The sequence below is a fragment of the Homo sapiens genome, chromosome 2 (assembly GCF_000001405.40).
Source record: "Homo sapiens chromosome 2, GRCh38.p14 Primary Assembly".
NCBI lineage: Eukaryota > Metazoa > Chordata > Mammalia > Primates > Hominidae > Homo > Homo sapiens.
Genome location: NC_000002.12, coordinates 174,551,636 through 174,568,661, shown reverse-complemented (window position 1 = coordinate 174,568,661; position 17,026 = coordinate 174,551,636). Strand labels below are relative to the sequence as shown.

At 40.3% G+C, this 17,026-nt stretch overlaps 1 protein-coding gene and 2 pseudogenes across 16 annotated transcripts in view, besides 1 other annotated feature; all 3 read left to right on the top strand.

The window, feature by feature from the left end:
- Positions 1–9,088, top strand: part of WIPF1 (WAS/WASL interacting protein family member 1) — a 123,340-nt gene extending 114,252 nt beyond the window's left edge. For 15 of the 16 annotated variants that reach the window (XM_047445756.1, XM_047445755.1, XM_047445749.1 and 12 more), the window contains 3 exon segments: positions 589–801; positions 1,479–1,592; positions 6,060–9,088. In XM_047445756.1, coding sequence (XP_047301712.1) covers positions 589–801; positions 1,479–1,592; positions 6,060–6,115 — 383 coding nt within the window. In that variant the 3' untranslated portion in view covers positions 6,116–9,088. 16 annotated transcript variants of the gene reach the window in all.
- Positions 2,384–2,445, top strand: RNU7-44P (RNA, U7 small nuclear 44 pseudogene; annotated as a pseudogene).
- On the top strand, positions 10,590–10,695 carry RNU6-5P (RNA, U6 small nuclear 5, pseudogene; annotated as a pseudogene).
- Positions 14,512–14,651: an enhancer, noted in NCBI's record as "active region_16775". NCBI's record gives its function as "activates an Ori minimal core promoter by ATAC-STARR-seq in GM12878 lymphoblastoid cells {active_cell/tissue: GM12878}" and the evidence as "EXISTENCE:reporter gene assay evidence [ECO:0000049][PMID:35858748]".

Genomic DNA, 17,026 nt, shown 5'->3' with positions numbered 1-17,026 from the left:
GCCTCCCCAAAGAGGAAGAACCAAGAAGAAACTCTTACTGCTCTCAGGATGACTGGTATTTGGTTTCCTGATGCCACTTCTGCCTGGAAACAGATCATATACATCACAGAAACATGCTTCTGTAATTAACAACAAAACTATGCATTTAAAGAACTTTGTTCTTCTGAAGACCTAAAATAATTTCATAACTATCTTATTCTTTTTAAAAAAATTCTTTCATCATGTCACAGTAATTAGTTCAATAGCTCTTTAAAGGATTATAAAATGTTTTTTTAAATATACGGTTGTCCGTGTAAACAGATTTTCACCTGTTTTCAATTTCACTGTGCCATCTCCAATCTGAGTGCTAATTCAAAGCCAAAACACCCATTTAGCTATCAGTATGCACTTGTTTTGCATATACATGTGTACACATGTGCAATTTTTGTGTTTCTGTGTGTTTACTCATTTCTCAGCCAAATATCCTAGAAAATCACCCTAATTAAAGGGCATGTGTCCAGCAAGTCCTCATCAGCTGTACACCAATGGTGACCACGGTAATGGAATGTGGATGTAAGGTTCTGCACTAAGTGTCTTTTTTTGCTCCAGGCCCCCTCCCACCACCTCCTCCAGTAAGCAGAAACGGCAGCACATCTCGGGCCCTGCCTGCTACCCCTCAGTTGCCATCCAGGAGTGGAGTAGACAGTCCCAGGAGTGGACCCAGGCCTCCCCTTCCTCCTGATAGGCCCAGTGCTGGGGCACCTCCCCCACCTCCACCATCAACATCTATTAGAAATGGCTTCCAAGACTCTCCATGTGAAGGTGAGGTGTGGTCCCAGCTCCCTGGGCTATAGGGCAGCAACTAAATGGTAAATCTGTTTGTATATGTGGTTTGCTTGTTTGCGTTTAATTTCTTGTTCCATCATTATCACACTCCATTGCACTGATCTAACTATCTAACCATTCTAAGGCCCACCATGATTTCAAATTAAAAATAGTAATCCCCCTTCCCCACTTCCCAAAAAGGCGGATCATTTTTCCCTGATCTGTTCTTTGTTTGGGTCTCATTTTAGTTAACTTTCCAGAGATTCCAGGATTCTGAAAAGAATCTTTTTATAGCTTCTTATTATGTACATTTCTAAACAGTTCACTGTAGGTAAGAGGCCTGACGGCCTGCAGATACTAAGTTGCCTATCTCTGCCATTGTTATCAATGGGGAAAAAGGTGTCCCATACCTTAGCCCCCAGCTCCTAAGAGGGACTGGCTGGATCCTAATCACTCTCACTAAAACCACTTTGCTTTGATTTGCAGGCCTGTATATATGTCAGTGTACTAATTCGTGACCTTTGTAGCACTTCCAGCTTTTCTGTAAACTTCTAGGCATAAAAACTAGCACTGATGTCTGTGGTTCTCTCTCTCTTTCATTCTGTGCCTTTCGTTACGTAAGTCTTCATAGCACATTGTCTGTCACTGAAGATACTGCTTGTTTCTCTTCCCAGATGAGTGGGAAAGCAGATTCTACTTCCATCCGATTTCCGATTTGCCACCTCCAGAGCCATATGTACAAACGACCAAAAGTTATCCCAGCAAACTGGCAAGAAACGAAAGCCGGAGTGAGTATTTCTGCCAAGGTTTTTGAAGATTCACGCTTGAGTAGCCTGAGTGACACTCGGGCTATATAGAAAGTCCAGGCTTCTTGCCTGGAGTGGGGTAGAGAACCCTTTGGAGCCATCTACATTCTAGTAAATTCCCCTTCCACAGGCAGTGAGGAAATTGCAGATGCCCAGAATGCATATGAGAAACAGTTATTTTAATGTGTCATTACAAGCTCAAAATACCGTGGTTTGCTAGTATTAAATTTTATTATTTTACTTCTTTGGACGTCTTCCTCTGTTTTCATCTTCCTGAGACAGCACAAGTAGAGCCATCTTCTATTCCTTCTAGTTTTGAAATTGGCATAATGTCTGATTAATTATAACAAAAACTCCCTTTAACTGCCTTGATCTTTTAAACGTATTGTAATCATAGCTTTACAGAGCATTACATGAAAATGTAAATATATCCATAATCTCTCCACATAATAGATATTTTCATTTTACCAGATTCTCATCCAATTTTTTATCCATATAATTCTGTTTTTTTATGTAGTTATAATGACGATGTACAGTTTTTTGGCGGGGTTTACATAACATTGCTTAGTAAATAGTGCCCATGTTATCACATGGTTTTTATTTCAGCATATAGTAATTTACCATTACCATGGACATTTAAATTATTTCTGTTGTTCTGCTAATGTAGGTAATGCTACCATAAAGAACTAAATTGCTTTTCCTCCATTGAAGAAGAATGTCAACAAGAAAGGAAAAATAGACAAACTGGAATTTTATAACAGTAAATGTATAGGAAGTGTTACAGCTCTTTGAGAATTTGTCTAGCAGGCTTTCCAGGGTTTTGCTGGAAAGCCTCTGAAATTTACTTTTAAAAAAACACAATAGCTGGGCATGGTGGCTCACGCCTGTAATCCCAGCACTTTGGGAGGCTGAGGTGGGCGGATCACGAGGTCAGGAGTTCGAGACCAGCCTGACCAACATGGTGAAACCCCATCTCTACTAAAAATATAAAAATACAAAAATTAGCTGGGCATGGTGGTGTGTGCCTGTAATCCCAGCTACTCAGGAGGCTGAGGCAGGAGAATCACTAGAACCCGGGATGCAGAGGTTGCACTGAGCTGAGATTGCGCCATTGCACTCCAGCCTGGGCGACAGAGCGAGACTTCATCTCAAAAAAAATAAAAATAAAAAAAAATGTATACAACGAAGAAAGAATTAGCATGAAATATGCATATGTCATCCATGAGGCTGAGGTTCGTGGCAGCCTTAGCCTCAGAGCCAAATTCCCAAACCAGAAATAGAGAAAACTTAAGCAAACAAGTCAAATATGTCACAACACCCCTAGCGATGGCCCCACTCCCTAACAGAGCACCTTACATGTACTCAAAGCCTACTGATTCTTTCCTAACACAGTTTAAAGTAATTTTTGGTTGGTTGGTTCCAAACCTTATAGGAGATTAATAACAGCTAAAGTTAAGACTGGTGAGAAGCAAAATCACTGACATGGGAGAGAAGTGACAGATGGCAGTCCCAGGTCAGAGGAGGAGACAGGAACATGGCTGTGCTGTGTGTCACAGCGCAGGACAACACCAGATGTTTCTGTTGGGTTGAATTTCTATTGGGTTAAATGGAATTAAATTAATTGAGTCAAACTGTGCTTTGTGCCTCTGTAGAAAAATTTAAAGAGTTAGAAAATATAGGAAAATTTCCATGGACAAATGCTAGAAGAAAACAGAATACTACTGCTTAAAAGGAAAACTTTAATTCCTGAAAAGATTTGTTTCTGTGGAAGACTGCATTCATAGACAATACCTAATGAAGAAGTATAGCTATAATAAAATTATTATACAAGAGTTGATGATTGAAATTTTTAGTGAAGGCCAGGCACGGTGGCTCACGCCTGTAATCCCAGCACTTTGGGAGGCTGAGGTGGGCAGATCACCTGAGGTCAGGAGTTCGAGACTAGCCTGACCAACATGGAGAAAACCTGTCTCTACTAAAAATACAAAATTAGCCGGGCATAGGGGCGCATGCGTGTAATCCCAGCTACTCAGGAGGCTGAGGCAGGAGAATTGCTTGAACTCAGGAGGTGGAGGTTGCGGTGAGCAGAAGTCGCCATTGCACTTGAGCCTGGGCAACGAGAGCGAAACTCCATCTCAAAAAAAAAAAAAAAGTGTTAGTGAAAAGTAAGTTTTCACATGGGACAGATATCTTTGAATGGTGTGTGTGTGTGTGTGTGTGTGTGTGTGTGTGTGTGCACCAGAAGAAGGGCTTCTGTTTGATAAGAGTACAGCCCTTCTTCCTTCTTGGGCACCAATAAATGAATTGACTTTAAGGAGTTGTTCATATAGACTCCAAATATTTTTCCTAACTTATTATTTGCTTCTTATTCTAAATATTATTTCTATTTTTAAATTGGTAATAGACCATCTTCCCTGTACCCTCTAGATCTTTAATGGAATAGCTAAGCATATATCTTCTCCCATCCTCCTTTAAGACTTGAGTAGGCAATGTAAGGACTAGAACTGTGTCCTGCTCACTATTGCACCTTCCTTGAGGGGCACAGAGCCTGAAACATAAAGGGCATTTTCAAGTATTTCTTTTTAAAAATTTTCTTATAGAGACAGGATATCTCTATGTCACCCAGGCTGGTCTTGAGCTTCTGGCCTCAAGTAGTCCCCTGCCTTAACCTCCCAAAGCACTGGATTATAGGCATGAGCTACCATGCCTCGCCTAAAAGTAGTTTTTAAATTGGTGAATTAATTTCCACAGTCTACCAAAATTTTTTTGTAGATTTGCCTTAAATATTTCCAGCATTAGGCATGTTTAATATTTTATAATGATAATGGATCATCTAACAAAAATAAATAAGGCACCGTCGAGTACCAAGTTTTCCTCTGCTCTGCAGCAGCCTCAGCCTCCAAGCCCACAGCCTGAGAGCGCACCCAGACAGCCCTGAGCAGTACCGAATGCACTTGGAGTGCCCTCTAATTACAGCTTTGGACAAGGCCAGCCCTCATTCTACTAACCACTTGTGGCGGGTCAGTTGATGGTCAAGGCCCCATGATAGGTGTCTGGTTTACATCCAGATGAGTCTTTTCTCAGATGCCTGCCCAAGAAAATATTTGGTTGGGATGGTGAGAGGAAGAGGTGCTTCTTTCAGTGTTTTCTCCTAACTCCCTTCCTTGCTCAGAAATTTGGTTCTTTCTCAGAAATCCCTAAGTGGACCAGTAGGGTCCCTATCAAGATGCCTACTTGAGGAATCTGCCAGTTCCAGCCCACTGAGTCTCAGAGCAGTGGTTAGAGCAGACCTACCTGATTGACACATGCCCCAGTTAGACCTGTTCACAACATCTGAGCACCTGACCTCATGCCAAACACCTGTTAAATCCTCAACAAATGTTTGTGTAGTAAATGAATTTTTTTTATGTGAATGGGTTTTAAGCCTAGTTACAGTGGACTGATAGCCCATGAATAGCTTGGTTTTGGTTTTTATTTTGTTTTTGAGACAGGGTCTCACTCTGTCACCCAGGCTGGAGTGCAGTGGCGCAATCTTGGCTCATTGCAGCCTCGACCTCTCAGGTTCAGGTGATCCTCCCACCACAGCCTCCCAGGTAGCTGGGACTATGGGACAGGCGCACACCAACATGCCCGGCTAATTTTTGTGGAGACAGGGTTTTGCTATGTTGCCCAGACTGGTCTCAAACTCCTGAGCTCAAGCCATCATCCCTCCTCAACCTCTCAAAGTGCTGGGGTTACAGGCGTGAGCCACTGCAACTGGGCCGTGAATAACTTTTAAAAGAACACATCGACAGAGTACTTGAAAAGGTGTTCAACATCACTAACTTTTATGAAACTGCAAATAAAACTATAGTGAGATACAACTTTACACCCATTAGAATGGCTACTGTCAGAAAAGCTTTCTAATTTTTAATTAGAAGATACCTAAATGCCCAACAAAAGGGAATTGACTAGGTAGACTGTAGTGTAGTCATATTTTGGAATGCAGACTGTCATTAATAATCTTTGCAAAGAGTAATGCCTTCGAAAGATGTTCAAACTGACTATATGATCTTATTTCTGGAAGAAAACGGGGAACTGTTTCTAAGTAAAAAATATACACATAATTGGTTATCTCTGGGTGCTGGAGGAATGGGTGAGTTCTTTGTTTTTACTCATCCATATTTTCTAAATCTATAATAAGCACACACTGTGATAAGAAGAAAATGATTTTTTTTAACTTTGTGCAAGTACTTGGGAGCCAGTGATGGATCACCCACCATGATGTTTATTCAGAACATTACTTGCTTGTTTTCACCTCTCACTTCTCATCCACAACATACGCCAGTTAGCTGACAGCCCTGGTCATAGGGATGAGGTAGTGGGTACCCGTGCAACCATCCCCGAGTTTCCACGATGAGAACATCAGCTTTCTAACCAAAATTATATTTTGTCTGTTTTTTCACCAAGGTGGATCCAACCGAAGAGAAAGGGGTGCTCCACCACTCCCTCCCATCCCGAGGTGATCTTTGCCTGCTCTTCTCTACCCAAGCTCAAGAGCTGCTTCTGTTGCTATCTAAGAACTGCATACCCTCCTCCCTGCTTCTTCCCTTGTGCCTCATGTATGGGCAGGAGGAAAGGTGGGAGGGGGAGTGGGAATATGCGTGTGTGGGTGGGAATCGGTAAGAAATGCACCTAGCTTTTCATATTGTGTTTATTCTCCAGGCTATTGCTTGCTTCAGCTGCAGCCTGCCTGTGCTGGCTGCTGGGGTCGATAGGCTTTTGTCGTAATAGGCAGAGATGACTTGCATCCCAGCTTTCCACCAACCAAATTCAAACATTCACTGCTTATTTGTTACAGACTGTAATTATTAAAGTCCCTGAGAGCTGTTTTCTCCCGTTCCTTTTTCGCATGCTTGGCCTCCTCTCTGTTTCTATGAACCACAGACCACCTAAGCAAGCTGCTGAGTAAGGGCTCACTGGAAACTTGCAGTCACAGGATGTCCAATCTTTGGCAGTCCGAGCTTGGCTCTAGGACAGAGCTGTCCAATAGAAATATAATGTGAGCCCCATATACAATTTTTACATTTCTAATATATTTTAAACAAGTGAAGTTAATATGCATCCAAAATATTTCAACCTGTAATCAACATAAAATTTTAATGAGATATTTTATATTATTTTTTGGTACTGAATCTTCAAAATCCAGAGTGTATTTTACACTTACCGCACATCTCCATTCAGACTAGTCACATTTTTAAGTGCTCAGTAGCCACATGTGGCTGGTGGCTACTGGATTAGACAGCACGAGTCTGGAAGATGGAAGCTAGTGCAGAAACCTCTTGTTTAAAAAACAAAAAAGGCAAGATGGGCTTGAGCGATTCAAGAGGCAACTAAAAATAAAATTAGGACCCAGCACCTTGTTTGACACACAGTTTGACCTTCGATTTTCCTCCCTTAACTTCCCTCTTCCCTTAATATCTGTATACAAGTGTTGCTTCAAAGTACCAAGGTCAGAAATTGATTGAGTACGGTTTACTAAAGTCATGTGGAATAAAGCCATTGGAAACAAATGGAAAGCCTGTCGGGACTTCTGGGCTCAGAACCAGCTGGCTCACGCACTCCACTTGTCAGCTGGACTTCTGCCTTGTGAAATGGAAGCAGCCTTTGTTCCTTTCTGGCTGAGCAAGCTCCTGAGGCTGGGAGAGACTAGGAAGGCTTGGTAGGAGGGGAAAAAAGTCAGGAAAATATATCAAATCAGAAACATGGAAGAAGAAGGGAACCGATTTGAGTTGGTGGGCAAAACTCTAAAAATCTAAATCTGATGCTTATGTAAGGGTTGAGCGAATTAGGGAGATTGCTAGTGGAAATTGGAGGGAATTTGTTTTGCATCATTTGTCTAGGATCTATGCAAATATAGCTCCACTAAAGGACCATAGGGAAGAGCCAGCCTTGCCTTTTCTTATATGATTTTGTTTACAAAATTTTACTGGGACTTTTAAATCTAGCTATAGAGTTGGGAAAAAATATTTCCACTTAGATATTTTACATGGTTTTGTTTAAAATTACCATTACTTGTTTTTTAAAAACACATGACCACATATGTATATGTATATCTACCTAAACATTGTATCATGGTTTCAGTATGTTATTCATGTATTACTGGGAGATGCTACCAAGAAACCAACCCAAAGAAAATTCTGAAAAATACATTTCTATTTATAGAATAAATGTTTCATTTATATAAAAGCAAAAGAACTTAGAGTTCTAATAAATGGGATGTCTAATAAATTATGAAGTTACTGATTTGAATATATTATATTTCTATAACTTCCTTGCCAAAGTCCTGATTTAGTACATTAGAGAACCTGTGTTTCCTCTCTCCTCTACCATTCATCTCTCTTCCATACAGTCATTTGGGCTTTTTACTCAAAGAGAATCAAGAAATAATAAGGTATAACAAGCTTGGCAAAGTGTTGGCTTTTTAAAAAAAAATTTTTTTAATCTCTAGCAGTTTGGTAATTTAGCAGCATCATTTATTTGGGATTCTTTTATCTGATTTCAACAGTGAAAAACATCCCTATGATAAAGCCTAATGACCCATTTCACAAAAGATGGAATTTGCCCTTCCTAGAAAATATGACGGAGAAAAGTCTGACTCAGAGAAAGTGGGTCTGAATTTTATAAGGGGTAGTAAGAATTGGACAATTCCTTTGCATATCTGAACTTGGCAGGTACCGTTCTAAATCTGAAACAGGGTGATAGCTCAAAGTTGCCATTCATCCAGAATAGATTGTTTTAGAATGTAGTGTTTAAGTGACTGTTTCATTAATACACCTACACCCTTTCTTTGAAAGTTTGCAACCTAATTGCATCTAAAACTATGAATAAGTTCTGTGGTAAAATCTTAAACTATGGAAAATTACAAAAATGAATTTTTCTTCCCTGAAATCAGAGCTTACATGTGTGTTTTTTTATAACATTTTCAGATAAATGTATTCAACATGTAATACAGTATTTTAACATTCACCTCTTATTTTATATTGAAATGTATTACAGTATTAAAACTCAGTGTTCAGTATTTATTTCACTATGCATTTTATTTAGTAAAAGCCAGGAGAAATGTTTAATCCAATGGTGCCTTACTTTGTGATTTAAAAGAAATCAACTTTTTTTTATGTCTAAGTAGTAGATTATTTGCATATTTGTAAAAACTGTTAGGTCTTTATATTTTAAAGTGTAATACCAGTTTTGTTATTTTAGTAGCAGAAATGGGATGATTGTTAAAGTTCCCCAAAAATGTTGGCATGAAATTAATTTTTCCCTCCTTATAGTCAAGGACCGTAGAGGAAGAAAAACTTTTTTTTCATACCATGCACTATGTAAACAGACACATTTTGCTATCTGTGTCATCAGGATAGTGTAAGTGGTAGGGTAGAGACTACCCTAGACATCTGCATCTTTGTAAGTTAGCCAGACAATAAAGAAAAGCAGAATGATATGGTGTCAACTGGTGGTTTTTCTTTTAAGTATTGTTTATGTAAATATAAACAAAAAAACAAGTGTCTGTTTTCGGTTTTAAACTGTGGAAAAGAAAGACAAACAAAAAAAGGTTTGTATAAGTAAGTAAATATTCATTGTACCTACTTGCTAATCCCATCTTCGTTTTTTCCGAGAATCTGCATCTTAGTCAAAATCTGTTTACTTGAGGCAGATGTTTGTACTAGGAGGTAAAGATGGATGGCTGAAGCAATGGAAGATGAAATTACAAAGACTGGCATGGATACTGATAAATACAGGAAAGGCCAATGGGAATTTAGGAGTCTGATAACTTTCTTAATTATCTGCTGTATGTATACATACAGATCTCAATATAGAAGAATGGCTAAGAGCTTAGGAAGACCTGGCTCCGTGTCTTACTTGCAAGTCACTTCACTAAACCTGTTTCCTTATCTATAAGGTGAGGAACTATCTTATAGCATTAATATATGCATTAAATGAGATAATGCACTCAGCATTTAGCCTTAGTGTAAGCACTCAATAAGGAGTAGCCACTATTAGTGTGAAGTAGGAAACAAATATTTATATAATGATCCCAAATTAACTGGAGCCAAATCCACTAGAAGGGGATCTACTAGTGTACTTTTAAAGGAAAGGAGCACTAGCTCCTAGATTGAAAAAATATCCATATCAGAAATGCAAAGCAACTTCTACATAAGGGTCACCTCACCTACCATCCTCCCTGTACCTCCAGGCCTGGAAAATGAAATTTTACCGTGCTTCAGTCATCAGAGAAGTATTATTAGGTTCAGTATGAAATAACAGAAATTAAGAGCCAGAACTTCGCAGATGGGGCAACCTTAGAATTTATGATCCACAATGGAACATTTTTGAGAGTGGAAGGGGTGCTAATAGTTGCAGTGGCAAAGCAGGTATAAGTCTGGGTTGCCTTGGAAAATGGGGCCGTGTGGTCACCCCACTCAGAGGTCATCCAGTCCAAACGTCTGGGCTTACAGATGGGCAATTTAAGGCCCTAAATGATGTGACTTCTCACTGTACTGTCCCATCTTCATAGTCTTTCCTGCCCCTCTCTCTATCACTGTTTTATGTGTCTTTCACATTGGCTGGAAAGAACAGGCCAAATGAGAGGTTACAGCGTCACAGCAAAAGCCGTGCACTCACAAATCTGCGTTTGGATTCTGGCTCTGCCACTTGCTCCCTGTGAGGCCATAGACAAATTATTTAAGTCTGAGTTCTAGCTTCCTCAAGTGCAAAATGGTTACAAAGCTTAAATAATACACATCCAGAAGCTTTGTAGGTGGTTTATTGAAAAAAAATAAATTTTAAAATAAATAAGTAAATATGCAAAACTCAAGCAAGATACCTGGCATATGTTAGGCACTCAATGAAAATTAACTCCATTTCATTTCTTAATCATTTTGCCATCAAACCTAGGCCATATTCATGACAGAATTCTCAAACGCAAAGAAGTCTTGACAAGTGCTCGCTTCGGCAGCACATATACTAAAATTGGAACGATACAGAGAAGATTAGCATGGCCCCTGCGCAAGGATGACACGCAAATTCGTGAAGCGTTCCATATTTTTAGATATACCTAATGCTAGATGACGAGTTAGTGGGTGCAGCACACCAGCATGGCACATGTATACATATGTAACTAACCTGCACATTGTGCACATGTACCCTAAAACTTAAAGTATAATAATAATAAATAAATAAATAAATAAAGAAGTCTTGACAAAATTCAGTTGCAGAATCTTTAGGAATAAAAATTGCTTTAAGTCTGGCCTCGTTTGTTCAAAGTGGAATTATTTATTTGATTCATTCATTTAATAAGTTTTTATTGAGCACTTACTGTTTACCAGCTTCACCACAAATGACCTATTAACTGGTATCCCCACCGTGACTGTAGTGGTCAAGTGATCTCTGAGTGGCAGGTAAGGAGGCCAGCACCCATTCCAAACAGGCATGGGGGCAACTTCAGTCACCCAAGCCATAGAGGGCTTGCTACTAGTGGAGAAGACACATATTTTATAGGTTCTTACCCCCTTAAGTAATTTATTTGCTTTCTTTCTAATCTCAATGTCATGGTAAATTACACTCGCTTTTTAAAAATTGTTAAACCTACAGGAACCTTGAAAAAAACAGTATTTGGAAAGATTTTTGATGACCAATAAGTTATATCTTTTGGGTTTTGATTAATTTGGAAGGTAAATTCAAGGATTCCCAGTTTTCTAAACATTCCAACTAACTGAAGGCTCCCTGGGTACCTAATAGTCACCAGTTCCCTTCTCCTTTGTCTTCCCCCAGTCTCACTTCCCTGCAGCCTGAACACTTGGCATTTAATGTCTATGTCGAGTTACATTTAGCATGTACGTGTTTCTCATACTGGTAAATGTTTAGAAATGTCCCACTCATCAACGTTATAGCACAAGTACCTTTGTCTTAAAATGTTGCTTCCATTATTACACAGGTGCATTTATAAGAAGCTAATTAAGCTCAAGCTGTAGGATCCCCCAGTTGCAAGGCGGGGGGGGGGGGGTTGGCTTCTAACTATTTATTATTATTTTTATTTTAAAGGGTCTCATTCTGTCACCCAGGCTGGAGTGCAGTGGCATTATCATAGCTCACTGCAGCCTCAGATTCCTGAGTTCAAGCAATCCTCCTGCCTCAGCCTCCTGAGTCACTGGGACTGACTACAGGTGCGCAACCATGCCTGGCTAATTTTTAATTTTTTTTTTGTAAAGAGGGGTGGTCTCGCCATATTGCCCAGGCTAGTCTCAAATTCCTGGCCTCGAGCAAGGCTCCCACCTCAGCCTCCTAATGTGCAAGGATTACAGGTGTGAGACACTGTGCCTAGCTGGGGCTTCAAGTTACATACTCATTTTCATATCTAGTTTTTTATTTATGATTTTATATTATCTTTCTTAAATAGGACAACTTATATTGTCTAAAGCTTCAGACATCACAAAACCTGGACCTGCCCTTGCAATTCTGCCTTGCTCAACTTCTGGTGGAGAACTCAACCAAAACAAATGTCTTAAAAACTTTAAGCCACCAGCTTCCTGTGAGTGACAGATATAAGAGAGCCAAAGTGTTTGCCTCCTTCATACTCCCTGAGTGACCTGTAAATGTCTCTAAAATAACATGGTCATTGCATTGCCCACATTGCATTAGAGTCAAAAGCCCCAGAACATGACCTATCTAAGAAAATACCTTTGAGGTCCCTGGAAAACAAGTCCAGCCGTTATTAGACGTTGCGCTCAAATTCAGCTTAAATTTTGGCCAGGAAGATGCCTACCAGAACACCTGGAATATCCATCATGGACTTAACATAAACGTTTTAGTCATAGGGACTCCCACCCTTTTCCTGTTTTCTGTCTGCCTTGGTAAGTTAAAGGTCACACATCAAAATGCTATCTATTTCAGATCAGTTCCAGAAACAAATAGCAGCAAATAATTGGAAAAACCCACATGATTTAATGGAGCTGTTGTACTCCCTGATATTTATTTGTACATTATTCAAATCATCAACAAACAGTAGTTGAGGAACTATAATTTATTAAGCACTAGGAATACAAAGATATACATAATACAATAGGAAGTTTTTAAATACTAGACCCAGAACCAAGTGTGAGTTTAAATTCTACATCTAATAAAAACTTCAGCTAGTAGGTACAACCCAACCCCATCCTACCACTGGTTCTGGAATGCACCTCATCACGGACATAGGGCTGTTTGGCTGGCTGTGTGCATGCAAGGAAAATTCCTACTCATGCTTGCTCCTTTGAGATTTACTCTTGGAGCAAAAGCATGGACAGTCCCAAAGGAGGCCACCATGGGAAAATGAAAAAACATCTAACACAGTAATGAAAACAGTAATTTTATACCATCAAGACAAGCTACCATGGCCAGGCACAGTGGCTCACACCTGTATTCCCAAGACTTTGGGAGGCTGAGGTGGGAGGATTGTTTGAGCCCTGGAATTCAAGACCAGCCTCGACAACATAGCCAGACCCTGTCTCAAATAAATTTTAAAAATTAGCCGGGCATGGTGGCATGTGCCTATACTCCTAGCTACTCAGGAGGCTGAGGCAGGAGGATCACTTGAGCCCAGGAGTTTGAGGTTGCAATGAGCTATGATCCTTCCACTGCACTCCAGCTTGGGTGCCAGAGACCCCATCTCTTAAAACAATAAAAAAAATTTTAAAAAGAAGACACTGCCTAATTTATGTATCTAAATGACAACACATTCTTTTTCATATAACCACCACCAATACTACAATTTGAGCTAGGCTTTTTACAAATATTATTGCCAATCTTTGTATCATTATACATAGAGAAATCAAAGCCTGAGTGGATTAGAAATTTGCCTCAAGCCACTTGCCTTAAGTGGATTGAGAATTCAAACTCAAAGCTGCCTGATCAAATTTGAATGGGGAGTAATATCATTGTCAACTTTTCATTTGTCAGTTTAAAAAAATACCGATATTTCCTATAAGTAAGAACCTTAGTGAGCCAAGACAATGGAAGACCTCATTTGAGAATGAGGCAGTTGGCTCAACTGAATAAACATAGCTTCCTGGAAAACTTGCTCCGTTGTCCTCACTTTCCTCATTGGACTGTGGACTGGCTCTGCGTTTACCACCTGGGACACATTGCTTCTTGGATGTGATCCAACTTCTTTTGGTTCTTTGCAGTTTAGGGGGTGGTTATAATCCCTGCCTTGAAGTTTTAAAAAGGATATTATATAAATTTGCTTTTCAGCTCATCTTATCAGATACCTGCTACCTTTTAAGGTGATCTCAGAGAAGCCAGAAGTCATTTCATTAAGCAGTTACAGGTTACGGGAAATCCCCATGTCAGAATCAAACTGCAGTGTGCCTAGTTAATTTGCTTTCCTATGAATCTCCCTTCCTTTGTACTGTTCATTATTTATAGGATATTTCTACCATTCCTATCATAAATTTATAGTACTAAATTTCTTTGTCACTCTCCTTGGAGTTGGAAAAGCCATGTGGCTCTTTTAAATACCAAATAATAGGATTCGCTTTTCGGTAATAGCCAGAAGTAAACCTTGTGTTCTTTGCCTCATCATACTACCTAACACTCAGTAAAGCAAAAAGACAATCATATTCAACAAAATTGAAAAGAGTGGCTCCACAGTTTTCAGGCATTTTTACATACCTTATGTCATTTGTACCCCACAGCAGCCCTCAGAAAGAGGAAGGAGGAAGAAACTGATCCCCATGTCACAGGTACAGGGCTAAGGCCTGAGAGAGGAAGTAACTTAAGGCCTCACAGCTGTTGGGCTCACAGGCCAAGACTAAATTCCTCTCTGACTCTTTCAGTCACATTCTTTTCATTGGATTTCTGTCCTTATTGTCTTCATTCATTTGACAAATATTATCGCGCATCTTCTCACAACAGAGACGGCGTGAGGTAAACCCAGCTGAGGATATGCAGGTCAATACTGCAAAATGCCTGTGTCTCAGGAAGCCTGTGGTCTTTGGGCGGGGCTGAGGCAAGGACATGAGAAACTCTAGAACTAGGCAGAGTACATTAATTGTTATTCAAAGTCCAGATACAATGCATCAGGAGGATCCAAAGAAGGTACAACACCTGTGAAAGGGGTTGAGCCTCACTGCTTCACCCTCAAAGGCACTGCTCTACCCTGCTGATTTAGACTTGCAGTGTCTCTCAGAAGGAAAGAATCACCTGGAGTGCTTGTTAAATGCTGATTCCTGGGCTCCACCTCAGACCTACCAAAATTAGAATCTCTTGGAACCCAGGGAATTTGTATTTTTAACAAATTTCAAGGTCATTCTGATTCACACTCAGATTTCAGAAGCACCACTCTAAAGATTTTGCCCTTGCACTGGGCCTCTAAAACAATGTATTCATAAGCCTGGAACCTGGACTAAAAAATAAAACAAAAAAAGTATTAAAATATATAGCATATATGAAATAATGTGGATGAGTCCATCTCCATAGACGATGGAGCCTGCATCCATTTCATTTTTATTTTTATTTATTTATTTATTTTTGAGACAAAGTCTCTCTGTGTCGCCCAGGCTGGAGTGCAGTGATGCAATCTGGGATCACTGCAACCTCCGCCTGCTGGGTTCAAGCAATTCTCCTGCCTCATCCTCCTGAGTAGCTGAGATTACAGGTACATGCCACCACACCTGGCTAATTTTTGTATTTTTAGTAGAAGCAGGGTTTCACCATGTTGGGCAGGCTGGGCTGGAACTCCTGACCTCAAATGATCCACCCGCCTTGGCCTCTCAAAGTGGTGGGATTACAGGCATGACCCACCAAACCCAGCCAAGCCTGCATAAATTAAAACAAAAAAGAATATATGAAATAATACGAAGATTAAATCACCAAGATGGTGTTCACTTTTTGTCATACTGATTCACTTCATTTAACACTGTCCCATGTGTGCTGATTCATTAGAATGCTATTGTCTCGAATATGCGTTCCTTCAAAAATGTTTCTATTAGGTAAACCTTGAGGACATTATGCTAAGTGAAATAAGCCATTCAAGAAAAGACAAATACTGAGTGATTCTTTTTTTTTTTTAATAACAGAGATGGGGATCTCACTGTGTTGCCCAGCTGGTCTCAAACTCCTGGGCTCAAGCAATCCTCCTGCCTCGGCCTCCCAAAGTGCTAGGATTACAGGTGTGAGCCACTGCACCTGCCTGGATGATTTCATTTTTATGAGCTATCTAAAGTAATCGAATTCATAGAAACAGAAAGTAAAATGGTGGTTGCCAGGGGCTAAGGGTAGGGGGGAAGTGGGAGTTGTTTAAAAGGTATAGAGTGTCAGTTTTACAAGATTAAAAAGTTTGGAGATCTGTTTCACAACGGTGTGAATATACTTAACACTATTCACCATACACTTACAAATATTTAAGATGGTGAGTTTTGTTATGTTCTTACCACAATAAAAAATATCTCTATATCTGTCTATCTATCTGTCACCAAATTCTGATGACACTTTTCCCTCATGCTACGTGCTACCCTATCCTCTCTGCCAAAGAAAACTCCTACGGTAACAGCACTGTGCGGTCCCGGCCAGGGAGCATCAGCACTCTGTACTGAGTGTGTGTTCTACTGCGTTTCTTTCAGTGTGTTGGCAATGTGTGGCCCCTCTCCATGCCACTTTCTGGTGAGTTCTGGTAAACAATTTTGGTCCATTGTGCTGTCAAAAGGTAAATAGTGTTACTTCTGCCATAAAGAAAAATAGAAGAGTATCACGGCGGATGTTAAAAATGTTTAAGCACACTTTGGGAGGCCAAGGTGGGCAGATCACGAGGTCAGGAGTTCAAGACCAGCCTGGCCAACATGGTGAAACCTTGTCTCTACTAAAAATATAAAAATTACCCGGGTGTGGTGGCGGGCACCTGTAATCTCAGCTACTCGGGAGGTTGAGGCAGGATAATTCCTTGAACCCAGGAGGCGGAGGTTGCAGTGAGCTGAAATCATGTCACTGCACTCCAGCCTGGGCAAAACAGCAAGACTCCGTCTGGGAAAAAGAAAAATGTTTAAGCAGCTCAAGATGATGTCAAGGAAATGAAGTCTCAGTGATAGAGGGGAAGCACCAACAGGGTGCTTCAGAGTGGTGGAAGTCCTCACATGATGAGGAGTATCATAAACACCCCTCCTACCACAGAGGTTAAACAACAACTATGACTGGTAATGGGAAGAAACTATGGCCTGGGGCACACTGGGACCTCAGGAGATTTAAAGAGAAGAGAAAACCCAATGGAGAGGAACCTGGACTCAAGAGACGTGGCCAAAACAGGCTGTTCGCTTGGGCCCCCTTTCTAGGAACACATGCCCCCTCCTCCAGCTAACAGGGAACACGTACAGCGTTGCTGGGATTGCAGCCTCCACACTTACCTATGT